At 46.4% G+C, this 14,972-nt stretch overlaps 1 long non-coding RNA gene across 6 annotated transcripts in view; it reads left to right on the top strand.

Moving 5' to 3' along the window:
• LINC02808 (long intergenic non-protein coding RNA 2808) overlaps window positions 1-14,972 on the top strand; it is a 55,193-nt gene that overhangs the window by 20,372 nt on the left and 19,849 nt on the right. The window contains exons 2-3 of one of the 6 annotated variants that reach the window (XR_947319.3): window positions 741-794; window positions 5,147-5,333. The exons of 1 other annotated variant lie outside the window; for it this stretch is intronic. This is a non-coding gene — a long non-coding RNA (long intergenic non-protein coding RNA 2808). Of the gene's footprint in view, window positions 1-740; window positions 795-2,411; window positions 2,448-4,347; window positions 4,499-5,146; window positions 5,334-14,972 lie in introns of those variants that run through there. 4 more of the 6 variants (XR_947320.3, XR_947321.3, XR_947318.3 and 1 more) reach the window with 4 other exon arrangements.

Raw genomic sequence — 14,972 nt, 5'->3', positions numbered from 1 at the left:
GCCTGCTATTATTGTATTCTGATCAATTAGTGGGGAAGAAATGAGGTCAGAGATAGCAGGTGTGGGCTTGGCTTTGTTTCTGGAGAAGGGCTGAGCTGGGTTGGGGCTGGGCTGGGGTGATGAGGAGGAGACGGTTCTTAGGGCTTTAGGCCATGAGCAGTAGAGAGGAGAGTGAACCACAACAAGTACCAGGCTTGTAGCTCAGAAGGCTTGGCCTCACTGTTGCCAGGAGATAAAAATGGCTTTTGGAAAACATTTGTGCTCCAGGCTGCACAGGGTACTGGGGTGGGCCCATTAGCCACTTAATGTCCTGGATAATGACCCTTAGCTTCCGAGAATGTCAGCTGGAAACCCAGACTCTACCAGAGGCATGGAAACCGGCCAGTATCCTTGGCCTCATGTTCAAAGCTCTTTCCAGCTACAAACCAACCTCGCCTATTTTCTCTACAGCCTTCCTCTCATGTGGCTCTGTCCTTCAGCTCTCTGAACGTGTCCTGGGCTCTCTTATTTCCCTTCCTTTGCTTAAGGTGTTGCCCACCCCTGTACTACCCTGTTCCATCTCTGCCTGGTGAAATCTTCCTCATCCTTCGTGCACCGTGTCATATGCCAGCTTCCCCAAGAAGCTTTCTGTTACAGCCCCTGTTAGAAGTTGTCTCTTGCCTCTGACCTCCAGCATGCCAGTAAAGTTTGTCTTATCCTAAGGGAATCTGAGCTTATTCTCATCTTCTTTCCCTTCCTAGGAACCCTGGAATCACAGACTGTCATGACTTGTCTAATGTGCTTTCTGGCACATGGTAGGTTCTGGTGACTGTTTGTTAAATCAAATACCCACTTGCACATATGCAAAAGCTATTTATCTGTATCACTCCGAACATCTCCTGACTGTGCAGCTTCTTTCTTCTATCTATGCCTTTGCATTTGCTCTTCCCTTTGGCTTAAGTGCCCTTCCCTGCTTTTCTATCTGGCAAGATCCAGTTCCAAATCAGGCTAACCTGTGCTCTCTTTGTATCTTTTACACCTTTCTTTGATGGCATGACTTACACTGTGCTGTGAATAAGATAGGCTTTTTGCCTTCAAAGGATTCACAGTCTGGCAGGCTGACAAATAGCTATGTTGCAGTCTTCAAATCTAGGGCTCACTCTTAGGCTCCACACTTCGGTGTGGTAAAAATTCAAATAGTATTATCAAAGCAGGTAATGAAAAGTTTCCCTTCTCTAAAATCAGAGCTTCTGCTATGTTGCACAGTTCCAGGGGACACTGTTGCCATTATGGTCTAGATATGTGGCTCCAAGTGGGCTTGCACAGTGCACAAGCTTTACCACAATACCTGGCAGCCCTGACTCAACCATTCAATTGCAGTTCCATTCCTCAGGAGTAAGACCACTGTCACATTTCTTGTGTATCATTTCAGATGTCCTATACATATCAAACATTTATGTGTATGTGTGTATCCTTTTTTTTTTTACACAAATGGAATGTCACATACAATCTTTTGCATCCTGCTTTCTTAATAATCTTGGAAATCATTTCTGATCAGAACATCTGGATCTACTCTATTTTTTACTACATTATTTTAAATAGCAGTATAATATTCATGACATGTGTGTGCCACAATGTAATCACTCCCCAACTGATCAACATTTAAGTTGTTTCAATTTTCTTTAGCACTCCAAACAGTACTGCAACAAACATTCTCACAGGTACAATTTTAAGCACTTGTTTGAATTTGTCTGTGGGACAAATTCCTAGAAGTTGAATTGCTGAGGAAACAGAGGGCATATGTGTTTCAAATTTTGATGGACATTACCAAATTTCCCTTCAAAGACTGAGCTGAGTCATCTAAGATGAGTAAGAACTACTGAGACAAAGCCATGGGCAAAAGGAACAGCATGGAAAGAGGTTTGGGTTGGGTGCAGTGGCTCACACCTGCAATCCTAGCACTTTGGGAGCCCTAGGCTGGTGGAATGCCTGAGCTCAGGAGTTGGAGATCAGCCTGGGCAACATGGCGAAACCCCATCTCTACAAAAATTAGCCGGGCGTGGTGGTGCACATCTGTAGTCCCAGCTACTTACGGGGCTGAGGCAGGAGGATCGCTTGAGCCCAGGAGGTTGAGGCTGCAGTGAGTCACATTTGCACCACTGCACTCCAGCCTAGGTGGCAGAGCAAGACACCGTCTCTAAAAAAAAAAAAGAAAAGAAAAAAGAGAGAGAGAGAGAGAGAGAGAGAGGGAAAAGAAAGAGTTTTGATGGGGGTTTGACAAAACACAGCCTGTTTGGAGGAACTGAGTCATACTTTGTGATTGTAAAGAAAAAATTAAGCATGGTGATTGGTGAGGATAGCCTCTGTGAGGCAGTGGCTAAGTCACCCAGGGCATCATGGGTTGGCTTAAGTCACAGAGGTTGGCAAATGATGGCTTGCTGGCTGAATCTGGCTCACTGCATGTTTTTGTAAGTTGAATTTTATTGAAACACAGCTATGTTCATGTATTTATTTACCGTTTATAGCCACTTTTGCTACAATGGCACACTTGAGTAGTTACAACAGAGTCCATTTGCCTGCAAAGCCTAAAATAATTACTTTGTGGCCCTTCACAGAAGTTTTCTGGCCTAAGAAGTTAGATTAGCCTGAGAACAGTGGCAGGCCTTTGACGGTTCCACAGAGAAGAGAGACATAGTCAGTTTGGTATTTTTGAAAGATCACTTTGTTGCTGTGCAGAGAGAGGATTGGGATGGGGCAAGGGCTGAAAGATCAGGGAGGAGGCTAGTGCAGTGACTCAGGTGAGAGGTCATGGGGCCTGGAATAAGACAGAGGAAATGGGATGGAGAGAAGAGGATGGACTTGCTAGGTATTTGAGAGGGCTTGGAGAATGGTTGAGTGTCTGAGTGGGGAAGGCGGGGAAGTCAAGGATGTTTGGGAAGATGTTCTGGTGTTGTGTTCTGATGTTGACATGGCGGCCGGCAATTCAGGCACCCCAAGGCCTCCAGCTCTATTCTGGCTGTTGGTGCCGGTACTCAGAGTGGGGCTGTCTCTGATCCAGGGTCTCTGGTCTCCTTTGACTTGAAGGAACAACCTCGTCTAACCCTCAAGCTGGCACTAGCAAAAGGAGACATAGAGATGTCTTCTAAGATTGTGCTCAATTTTCATCTTCATTTAAAGCACTAATTTGGCTTTTATTTTTATTTTATTTTACTATTTTATTTTGTGTGTGTGTGTGTGTGTGTGTGTGTGTGTGGTTTTTTTTTTTTTTTTTTTTTTTTTGAGACAGAGTCTAGCTCTATTGCCCTGGCTGGAGGGCAATGGTGTGATCATAGCTCACTGCAACCTCTGCCTCCTGGGTTCAAGTGATTCTCCTGCCTCAGCCTCCCGAGTAGCTGGGATTACAGGCATGAGCCATCGTGCCCGGCTAATTTTTGTATTTTTAGTAGAGATGGTGTTTTGCCAGTTTTAGCCAGGCTGATATCGAACCCCTGACCTCAAGTGATCCGCCTGCTTCGACCTCCCAAAGTGTTGGGATTACAGGCGCGAGCCACTGCACCTGGCCAGCTTTGATTTTTCAGTCTAACTCATCTCCTTGCTTTTCTTTCCATTTAAACGTTTATTAACAAGATGACTCAAATTATTCATGAAGTGGTGGGGAGCTTGGACTCCTGGGCCAGATCAGGCTACTATTTTTTTTTTTTTTGAGATGGAGTCTCGCCCTGTCACCCAGGCTGGAGTGCAGTGGTGTGATCTCGGCTCACTGCAAGCTCCGCCTCCCGGGTTGACACCATTCTCCTGCCTCAGCCTCCTGAGTAGCTGGAACTACAGGCACCTGCCACCATGCCCGGCTAATTTTTTTGTATTTTTAGTAGAGATGGAGTTTCACTGTGTTAGCCAGGATGGTTTCGATCTCCTGACCTCATGATCTGCCCGCCTCGGCCTCCCAAAGTGCTGGGATTACAGGCGTGAGCCACCACTCCCAGCCTATTTTTTTTCTTTTGCTCAGTTTCATAAAGATAATCCCCTGATCACTTCCCACAGAGAATGCTTTCCTCTGTCTTTGAGCTGGTAGGGGTACCTCAATAAAATCAGAAATATAGAAAGCAGGCGAAGAACTGAGAACAATGGTTTACTAGAATTTGGAAGGGTGGTGACAAGAGATTTAAGGGTTGGAATCAGCCTTTCCAGAAGTCAGTAACACAGTTTCAGAACCACTCTCCAAGTCATAAGGATTATATTCTAATCATAACACAAGATAGACCGTAGTTGTTCGTACAAATCCAGAGCATAAAGAAGAAGCTTAGTTCAAGGGGCTTGTGGTAGTAATTGCTCTGATTTTTAGGACAGAGCAGTCTGGGACATTCTCTGGAAGTTTTAAAGTTGATATGACCTACAGAGGAGCAGAGATGAGAGAAGAGGAAGAGGGAGGAAGAGCAGAGGACAGAGAAAATGAGAAATTGATTAAGAATAGAGATGGAGAAGAGGAAACTGAATAGGTTCCTATGTGTAGTAGTTGCAGGTATGCTCTTTGCTGTGCCAGGACACCACACTCATGACTCATTTATGCCTTTTAATAATTCTGGAGTGTGGGTAGCATCACCATCACAGTACACACGAGGAAACTGAGGCTCAGGGAAAGTTGCACAGAGAGCAACTTGTGCAAAATCCCCCAGAGAGTAAGTGGTAGACGTGGGGCTCGAACCCAGGACTAATTGGCTCCAAAGCCTGGGCTCTTTTTTCCACACTCTATGGGGCTGAGAGTGGGTAATGGATAGGACAGAAGGAAGAGCAGTTCAGGAAGGCAACAGGGCTGGAGGAGACTCACAAAATCCACAGCACTCGCCAAGCCCAGCTACTCGTGCCTGAGCAGCTGGCTGATTTTTTCATAAAATAAAAGAAGTCCCTGAATTGAGAAATATGTGTGTCTCCTAGATTGGATTGTGCAGTGAACAGTAGCCAGAGCGAGCAGTAATCCATCATGGCCTGGCGTTGGCGGGTGCTGCCAGCTGAAGCCCTGGTGGAACTGTCATGAAGGTGACCTTGGCAGGGAAAGCCAGGGCCCAATGTCTAACTGCTTCCTGGTAGTCAGTGTGGGGTGGAAGGGAGTGGGATGACAAGTTTCCTCTTCCCTACTGGTAACCTATTTTCCCCTATTTTTTTTTTCCAGCTTTTTACATGCTGCACCAATACTGGGTCTAGCTGCAGCTTGGCTGGGTCGCAGAGGCTGAAGAGGGAGCTAAGCCTGGAGAGCTGGGTTAAGTCAGACAGACCCAAAATCTCTTACACTGAGTCTCAACTTATTGTCCCTTGTGACTCCAAGGTCAACTTCCCTTCCCTGTTGGCTGAGGATCCAGGTGTGGAGCCAGTCAGCCAAGATGGGCCCTGGAGGGCCTCTCCTCACCCAGGGAAGGGGAGTGGTTTAAGGAGTTTGGCTGTATAATCAATCAGACCTGAGTTCAAGTCCTTGCTTGGCTGCCTACTTACTATTTATGTGACTTGGGCATTAACCTCTGACCCTCTGTTTCATTACCTGTAAAATGGGAATTATTAGTATACTTAGGAGGAATAAGTAAGGTAATACAGATAAAGTCAATAGTTAAATGCCTAATGCACAACCATATTTTGCTTAAATGATAGTTATTATAATTATTTTCTTTATGCCTCGGGGTCACTCTTTTGGATGGATTCATTAAGTCTGTTTCACAGAGACCCAAAGAGGCTCCTCTATGCTTTTGTGAGTTTAGAAGAGAGGGTGCAAAAGGCTTGTTTTCTGAAACCAATGCAAGTTTTGATATCTTATAATCTGCAGCATTGTTGGGGTTTCTGATCTCCTGAATTCTTGGCTACTATAAACTAAGTGCTCACTATGTTCCAGGCACAGCGTTAAACTTTTTGCAAGCAGTAGCATTAGTTAGGTTGTCATTAGCTGCTATAACAAATAAGTCCATGAAAGCATATGTTTCAACCACTATAGAAGTTTATTTCTTTCTCTGATAAAGCCCAGAATGGGTGTTTTGACTGATGGGAAGCTCTCCTTCAAGAGGTGAGTCAGACCAGGCTCTTTATATACTGTGGCTCTTCAAGTTCAACATGTGGCTCTAGAGGCATGCTCTAAATCTACACCCAGTGGCAGAAGGGGAAAGAGCATGGAAGTTTTTTTTTATGTGCCAGGTCAGGAAGTAGCATACATCACTTACGCTCAGATTCCATTGTTCGGGATGCAGATGTATGGCTAATCCTAATGACAGGAAGACTGGAAAGTGTAGTCTAGCCATGTGCCCAGGAGAAGAGGACATGGGTTTGGTAAAGAGCTAGCCAGTCTCTATCATGCATTATCATCCCATTTTATTTTTACAACAATTGAAAGAAAGGTGGGAGGGAGTGTGGGAGGGAGGTGGGGAGAGGAAGAGAAAGAGGGAGAGGCAACTCCTTCTGTCTTAGCCAGCACTTTGCCCTGAGTTCCGTTTCAACATTCCAACATATACCTGGTTCTTTAACCCTGCTGATCCCAGTTGATACCCCTTTTATCCCCTCTTTCCCCAATTTAAGTTCTCTTGTTCTAATTATTCTCTGTAGGTTGCCAGATATTTGTATAAGAGTCAAAGTGTCTACAAATGGTTTTCTATAGTATATCATAGTAGATGGTGAAGATGATCTAAAATAGGCAACACTTATTGAGTGCTGATGAGATGCCCCAAAATTCCCAAGCATTTTACATGTATTAACTTGTTTAATCTTCACAACCATTTATGAGATAGGTTCTATAAGATCCCATTTTACAGATGAGAAAACTGAGACAAAGAGAGGTTACATAACTTCCCCAAGGTTACCCAATGGTGGAGCCAGAATTGGAATCCAGCCAGTCTAAGTCTAGAATCTGTGCTGTGGATACTGTTGTTACTGTGGGCCAGGCTTGGAGCAAAATGATCCCTATGAATTAACTACAAATCCATGAGGAGGAGATTATTGTTGTCATTGTCCTTACTTTATGTATGATGGGATCAAAGCTCAGAGGAGTTAATCAACTTGTCCAAGGTCACACAACTAGAAAGTAACAGGTTTGAATGATAACAACGTCAAAACTCTTCATCACTGAACTATAAGAACAATAAGGAGGTGGAGCCATAATCATATTTTCATTTTCCACTGGGAAGTAGAAAGACTTTTTTTAAAGGATGAAAGGGCAGATGGTTAGTGTGCCATTTCAGGTGGTTTGTGTATATTTCAGAGAGAAGGGCAAGCCCTGAGGGAGTGGAAGGGCCCTCCAGTTTGCTGAATGTGACAAGGAGCCCTGAGTCCGTCTGAGTCCCATTCACATTCTCATACCTGCCTAGTCTGCCTAGTCTTGCAGAAACTTGTACATATTAGCATCCAACAAATCTATGTTTAAATCCCAGGTTTGCCCTTTATTCCCTGTGTGGTCTTTAACAAGACTGAACTTCTCTGAGTCTCATTTTCTTCCTTCCTTCCTTCCTTCCTTCCTTCCTTCCTTCCTTCCTTCCTTCCTTCCTTCCTTCCTTCCTTCCTTCTTTCCTTCCGTCCTTTCTTCCTTCCTTCCTCTGCCTTCTTTTCTTTTCTTTTCTGATATAGACTTGCTTTGTTGCCCAGGTTGGAGGGCAGTGGCACAATCTCAGCTCACTGCAACCTCCGCCTCCCAGATTCATTTTGGTCATCAGCCCCACCCCCGAGTAGCTGGGATTACAGGCATGTGCCACCTCGTCCACCTAATTTCTTTTTTTGTATTTTTAGTAGAGATGGGGTCTCACCATGTTGAACAGGCTGGTCTGGAACTCCTGGCCTCAAGTGATCCACCCACCTCAGCCTCCCAAAGTGCTGGGATTACAGGTGTGAGCCACTGGGCCCGGCCTTATTTTCATATTTCTAAAATGGTAATAATAGTGTCTGTCTGCATTGGAGGGGTTTGGGGTGTGTGTGTGTCTGTGTGTGTATGTGTGTGTGTGTGTGTGCATGTATGTGTTTATAGTGTCCTTCGCAGAGTCTGGCACACACTAGGTGCTTAATGAATAGTTGCTTTTGTCATTGTGCCAGCTGAGAAGCTGGGTAGCTGGCCCATTACCTCAAAGCAGAAGATGGACAGCAAGCAGAGGTGCCATCCTCAGGTGACATGCATAACAGTCCTCTCAAGATGAGGAAACTGAGGCTGAGATGCAGGGGATTGACTTTGTCCCCTTTGACACAGCCAGTGAGTGGCAGCAGCAGGACCCCTGGCCCAGAACTCATTCCGTGGCTCAGCCTCAAACCACGGCCTTCCGAGTCCATGCTTTGCAGCTGTTCTCTGATGGGTCGAATGACAAATGCTGACCCACAGAGCCACTTGTTGAAAGATAAATGGCGACTGAGCCTTGTGCAGTGAGTTGGAGCTACTTCTTCCTGTCTTTTTCAAGGTCTGGGGGTTATAATGGGCGAGTCAGATAGATAGTCATGGCGTGGGAGCCTACTACGGGGACCCAGCCGATAACCTGCCCCTGTTTGTTGTTCCCAGGTCTGGCTAAATGCATGAGGATTAAATTCCTTATCTATCAGGATCCCATTGGCTCTCGGATGCTTTGTGGTTCCCTCCATCCAGAAGATTAACTACTCCTTTTGACCAAGACTGGCCTAATGTGGCTGATTTTTTTTTCTGAGAAGATGCTGCTCACTTATGCCCCCCATCTTTCAACTGTCTCACTGGCCACTCCACATTCTCCCTAATGGGGGCCCTGCAGCAGCCTCTGCTTGGCCCCCCTGCCTCCCATCTGGCCCCCTCCAACCCACTCTCCACATTGAAGCCAGATTTAGTTTTTTTGCCAAATCCAGCCATGTCACTCGCCTATCTAAAATACACTTTTGGCTTTTCTCTGCCAATTGAATAAAACTCCAAATTTCTTTTTTTTTTTAATTATACTTTAAGTTCTAGGGTACATGTGCACAACATGCAGGTCTGTTACATATGTATACATGTGCCATGTTGGTATGCTGCACTCGCCAACTCGTCATTTACATTAGGTATATCTCCCAATGCTATCCCTCCTCCATCCCCCCACCCCACGACAGGCCCTGGTGTGTGAGGTTCCCCACCCTGTGTCCAAGTGTTCTCATTGTTTAATTCCCACCTATGAGTGAGAACATGCGGTGTTTGTTTTTCTGTCCTTATGATAGTTTGCTCAGAATGGTGGTTTCCAGCTTCATCCATGTCCCTATAAAGGACATGAACTCATCCTTTTTTATGGCTGCATAGCCTTCCATGGTGTATATGTGCCACATTTTCTTAATCCAGTCTATCATTGATGGACATTTGGGTTGGTTCCAAGTCTTTGCTATTGTGGATAGTGCCTCAATAAATATACGTGTGCATGTGTCTTTATAGCAGCATGGTTTATAATCCTTTGGATATATGCCCAGTAATGGGATGACTGTGTCAAATGTATTTCTAGTTCTAGATCCTTGAGGAATCACCACACTGTCTTCCACAATGGTTGGACATCTTGGGGGAAGGTTTCTCTTTCTTTCCAGAGAGGAATGCTTCCAAAGCCACTGAGACTGCTCACGAGCTGGAATTCAAGACCTGGGAAAAACCTACGGTGTGTGTGTGGTAGAGAAAGATGGGGGCAGGGCCCATTCCCTGTGAGAGTCTTCCTTGGATAAAATTGGAAATTTAACAACAGATGGATGATGGTTGAGGACACAATGGTTGAAGACTGTGGCGATTCCTCAAGGATCTAGAACTAGAAATACCATTTGACCCAGTCCTCCCATTACTGGGCATATTCGCAAAGGATTATAAATCATGCTGCTATAAAGACACATGCACACGTATGTTTATTGTGGCACTTGTGGAAAACTCCAAACTTCTTGATGGGGCATATGAGTCTCACTCTTCACAGTCTGACCCCTGCCTGCTCCTCCTCCATTGTCTCCTACATTCCTTACCGGCCTTGTTCCCTCAACATGCCCCATACCTGCCCAATTCCAGGCCTTTGTCCTTGCTGTTCTCACTGCCTGCAGTGACTGTTCCTCTTAATCTAGCTGGCTAAAACTCCAAGGCCTCCAAAATACCTCCTCCTTCTTCAATAGCCCCAGATTCATCCAAGCCTGGGCACTCCTCCTTCACTGGACTCTCATAGCATTTTGCATGCAGTTCTTTTATAGCATTTGTCTCATTGTGTGATGACTGCTTGCTTGTCTCTCAGCCTTGGCTCCCCAGCAACCCACTGGGCAGTAAATTCCTGGAGGACAAGAGCTTGAGTCTCCTTTGTTGCTGTATTCAGGTCTAATAGCTGGGCTGTACAAATAGAGCCCTGCTGGTTGTCAAAATACTGAAATATTTTTATGTTGGCTGGCAAATAGCTGTCTTGTCATCTCCTCTAGGATCCTCAGCCCTCCCATGGTCAAGCAAGTGCAGGGTTAATGGTGAGCATAGCAGGGTCTCCAGATTGGTCAGTGCCTTGGGTTGAGCCTGTTGTTAAATGTCCAGTTTTACCCAGGGAAGATTCTCACAGGGAGTGGGCCCTGCCCCCATCCTTCTCTACCAGACACACACCCTAGGTTTTTCCCAGGTCTTGAATTCCAGCTCATGAGCAGTCTCAGTGGCTTTGGAGGCATTACTCTCTGGAAAGGAACAAACCTTCCCCCAAGATGTCCAGGTCTGAGGGCGTGATCCCTCCTGTGGCACCCAGCTCTGAGGCAGGCATTAAAGGCTTTAGATTTCAGGCCACAGGCTCTGGGCTGGGGAGGACTTGGCAGCTCGGCTCAGTTGTGGAGCATATGTTGTGGGCCTGGCACCAAGAAAGGCACTGGGGCTCCAAGAGCTGCACTGGGGTGGACCATGCCAGTTTGGAGCTCACAGCCTGGGTGTGGGGACAGACACATAAGCAGATAATGACAACACAGGGTGATACAGAGGTGGGGGGCTGCAGGGGACCTCAGGAGGGCCAGGATCAGGGAGGGCTACTTGAATAATGGAGAGCGTGCGTTGGAGCTGAGTCCTGAAGAATGACACAGAGGAGACCCACCTGGCCCCAAGGTCACTCCCTTCAAGCCACTCCCCTCCTGGAAGGCAATGCCCAGTCATTGCTCTGTCTCATTTCTGGGCTTCGCCTGTCAAACCACAAACCACAGTGTGAATAATGACATCAATAATAACCATACCTAAATAATGCTTACTATATTTTACATGTTTGATTTGTGGTAAGTCATTTAGTTTTCATGATGACCATATAAGGTAGGTGCAATGAATACTCTTCTTTTTTAGATAGGGAAACTGAGGCACAGAATATTTTTGTAATTTATCCAAGGCCTCAGCAGTAGAATGTGGTAGAGCCAGGATTCAAACCCAGACAGCCTAGCTCTAGGATCTCTATGGGCATAACCACCACACCATACCGCCTCACACTAGCTCCCAGGATCACTGTTGGGGCCCTGGCCTCCCGTGATCAGCAGCAGGAGAGGATACCTCAGATATCTGGAAGGTCTTTTCCCCAGAGCGTATCATGTGGTTGGTAGTCCCCATGGTCTCAGGCACCAGACACCTCTGACATGAGCTCTTGAGGGTCCAGGTGCTTTGTGTGTCTGTCAGGTCTGTGACCCACTGTCAGGTCTGTGACCCACACTGACCAATTACAACCCCCACCTTGAAGCCAGTGGTAAGTTCACCACCCACGGGAGATTCCAGGAGCCCAGCTCTGATGGAGGGTCCCTGAAGCTGCAAGGTCCATTGCCCAAACCTGTCTCATTCTTTCCTGTGTCCATGTCCTCACAATGCCCCTCCTCTCCTCTCAGAGAAGGATGCATGCAGGAGGTGACATTTAAGTTGGATCATGAAAGGTGAGGAGGCGTGTTACACACAGAGGAGAGGGGCACAGACATTTCAGGTGGAAAGAGTGAGCCAAGTACAGGTGTGGGTGCGTGATGTGTTTGGGGAAGGGGGAATGCCAAGGCTGGGATAATAAGGTTGGGAAGGTAGGTTGGGGCTATGGCCTTGGCCTTTAGTCAGTAGGCAATGGGTGGCCACTAAAGAGCCTGGAGCAGGGAAGTTAAATGGGCATGCTGGTGTTTTAGAAACACCATAGGGGATGGTTTCACAGGGAGGGACTGGTGGCAGTCCCGGAGGGAGGCTGGAGCTATAGTCCCCTTTTGATAATGGCCTGAATTGAGGTGGTGACAGAGAAGGGGAAGACCAGAGATGCTTTTTAGAACCTGGGACTGTTGATAGTGGGATGAAGGAGGGCAGGAGTTGAAGCTTGACCCCCAGGCTCCTGGCTTGGGTGACTGGGACTTGGTTCCCCAGGTGGAGGGGTGCATGTGGGTAGAAGGTGGTGAGAAGGCTTTGGACTCTGACTTAGGTGGAGCCCTGGTGAAGTCTCCTGGATGCTTACCTAAAGAGGTCAACACAAGAGCAAGATCTGGTCTAGAGACAAAGATCTGAGAGTCCTCAGAGGAGGCTGGAACCTGAATCCCTGGAAGGTGTGAAATCCTCCAAGGAGAGTGTGTTGGTGACACCAGAAAGGAGAAGCAGTGTCTGGATCCTGAGAAATGCCAGCAGTTCAGGGGAGGGCTGTAGAGATTAAACCGTAAGGAATAATTCATTCACTCAACAAACTGAATGCCTCCTATGTGCCAGGCTCTTGTCTGTGAATACTGTGAATGTAGCAGAGAACAAGGCAGAAAAAACCCTGCCCCATGGCAGTACACTTGAGTGGGAAGAGGCAAACAAAAGTAGGACATACTACAGTGATAAGTGCTATGGAAGCTGATTAAGCAAAGGAGGTTGGAGGGTCAGATTGGGCAGCAATGGTAAATGGAGGAGGTGCCACTGAAAAGGTGACTTGGAATAAAGATTTGAAGTAGGTGAGCAAGGTGGATTTTGGGGGAAGACTTCTAGAAAGAGGAAACAGCAAACACAAAGACTCTGAGGCAGGAGTGTGTCTGGTATGTGGGAAAAATAGCCAGGAAGCCTTGCGGCTATCATAAAAAATGTAAGTATTATTATTGCATAATTATTATGTAGTTTTGGTATCTACCCCTGCTGTGTACTGTAATGAGTTTTGTAGGGGTAAGCTTGAGTAAGCCCCTTGACTCTCTATGCCTTAGTTACCTCATCAATACAATGGGGATAATAGTATCTACTTATAAGTAGAATTAAATGAGTCAATGTGTGTAAAGTACCTAGCACAGTGCCTGGCACAGAGTGTTTACTGCTATTATTATTATTTATTATTATTATTATTATTATTTTTTGAGACGGAGTCTCACTCTGTCACCCAGGCTGGAGTGCAGTGGTGTGATCTCGGCTCACTGCAAGCTCCACCTCCCAGGTTCACGCCATTCTCCTGCCTCAGCCTCCCGAGTAGCTGGGACTACAGGCATCCGCCACCACGCCTGGCTAATTTTTTGTATTTTTAGTAGAGATGGGGTTTCACCCTGTTAGCCAGGATGGTCTCGATCTCCTGACCTCGTGATCCGCCCGCCTTGGCCTCCCAAAGTGCTGGGATTATAGGCGTGAGCCACTGCACCTGGCCATTATTAATTATTATTATTATTATCCTTATTATTTTTATCACCATCATCTCCCTCTTTCTAGACTTTGAACCCTTTAAGGACAGTGGCTGTGTGTGGTTCTTCCTTGCAGCCCAGGGCCAGCCCATGGCAAGTCTCACAGTATGGGCTCGATAAGGGGAGGGGTTTGGGTAGAACAAATGAAAGAATAAATGGCAGGACATGGAAGGCAGCCAGGTCCCTTCTTGCCCTACTCCCGCAGCTCCCAAGACCCCCCAGAGCGGGACAGAGCCTGGGCTGGCTGGGGCTCAAAGCGGCCCATCCTTAAGTCAGTGTGTGCAAAGCCTCCAGGCCTGACAATGTATTTGTTATTAAGGTAATAAATAAACAAGTTGCTTGTCAGCACGGGGACTGGCACAAATGCCTTAGAAGATAAATACTGCCTCTGAAATAGACAAATATTTACCATCCTCCAGACAAAGTTGTCAGCCCTGCTAAAGGCCTCCAGGGCTTAGAATAAAGTGAACATTAAGATATTTTTGTTTTACCCTAATGGAAATATATTTGTGTACTTCTTCAGAGCAAAGAATGTGAAACTGCCTGTCCTTGAGCACTCACTATATGCCTGGGCCTTCCCACAAGCTCACCACAACCCTTTAGGGCAGGGATTGTGATCATCATTTTATAGATGAGGAGACTGAGACTTGAATGAGTTAAGTGACTTGCTAAAGGCCACACTGCTGGAGATGGTAGAGCTAGGATGAATCTGACTCCCAGACCCGGCTCTGGGTTGGAGCTTCCTGTAGCCAATGTGTTGAGATCCTTAGCTCAGTGGGTAGAGTGGAAGGTAGGAAGACAAGCTCCCCTCAGGATGCTGGGGCTGCTTTTGCTTCATGGAATAGACAAATGGAGCCCATGAGGGTCTGTGCACCAGAGTGAGGTGGTCCTGGGAGGTTGGAGGAAGTTGTTTGAATTATAAGACTGGGAGTGTCAGAGATGGCAGAGGCCTTTGAGGTGGAGCATCTCCTGAGTGTGCAGGTAGAGTGATTGCAGCACCTCCATGCCAGATTGCGAAGGTTCGATCCTAGCTCTGTCAATCATTAGCTGCATGACCTTGGGCAAGTTACTCAGCTCTCTGTGTTGCTGTTTGTTTCTCTGTAAAAGGAACGTAATAATAGCTTACCTTGAAGGGTTATTAAAAGGATGCAGAAAGTGGGTAGGTACAAAGTACTTAAACTGTGCCCGACACATACCAAACAATAAATATTAGTTATGATTATTATCACTATTGAGTTGTTTGTGTGTCAATCATTCATTCAGCAAAATTTATGTGCCTGAAGCAGATGCCATCAGTGCCCATTCACATGCACCTGGCATTGACCAATTCTGAGCACAAGGGGCAGGCTAGAAGTACTGGGGCGTTAACACTACACCTCCCTCTGGCCCCCACTGCCCAGAGCAGCTCTCAGCCAATGTGTATAGGAGCTGGTGGACAGAAA

Source organism: Homo sapiens, chromosome 1 (assembly GCF_000001405.40).
Source record: "Homo sapiens chromosome 1, GRCh38.p14 Primary Assembly".
In the NCBI taxonomy this organism is placed as follows: domain Eukaryota; kingdom Metazoa; phylum Chordata; class Mammalia; order Primates; family Hominidae; genus Homo; species Homo sapiens.
Note: the sequence above shows the minus strand (reverse complement) of the source record. Positions and strands in the feature narration are given on the sequence as shown.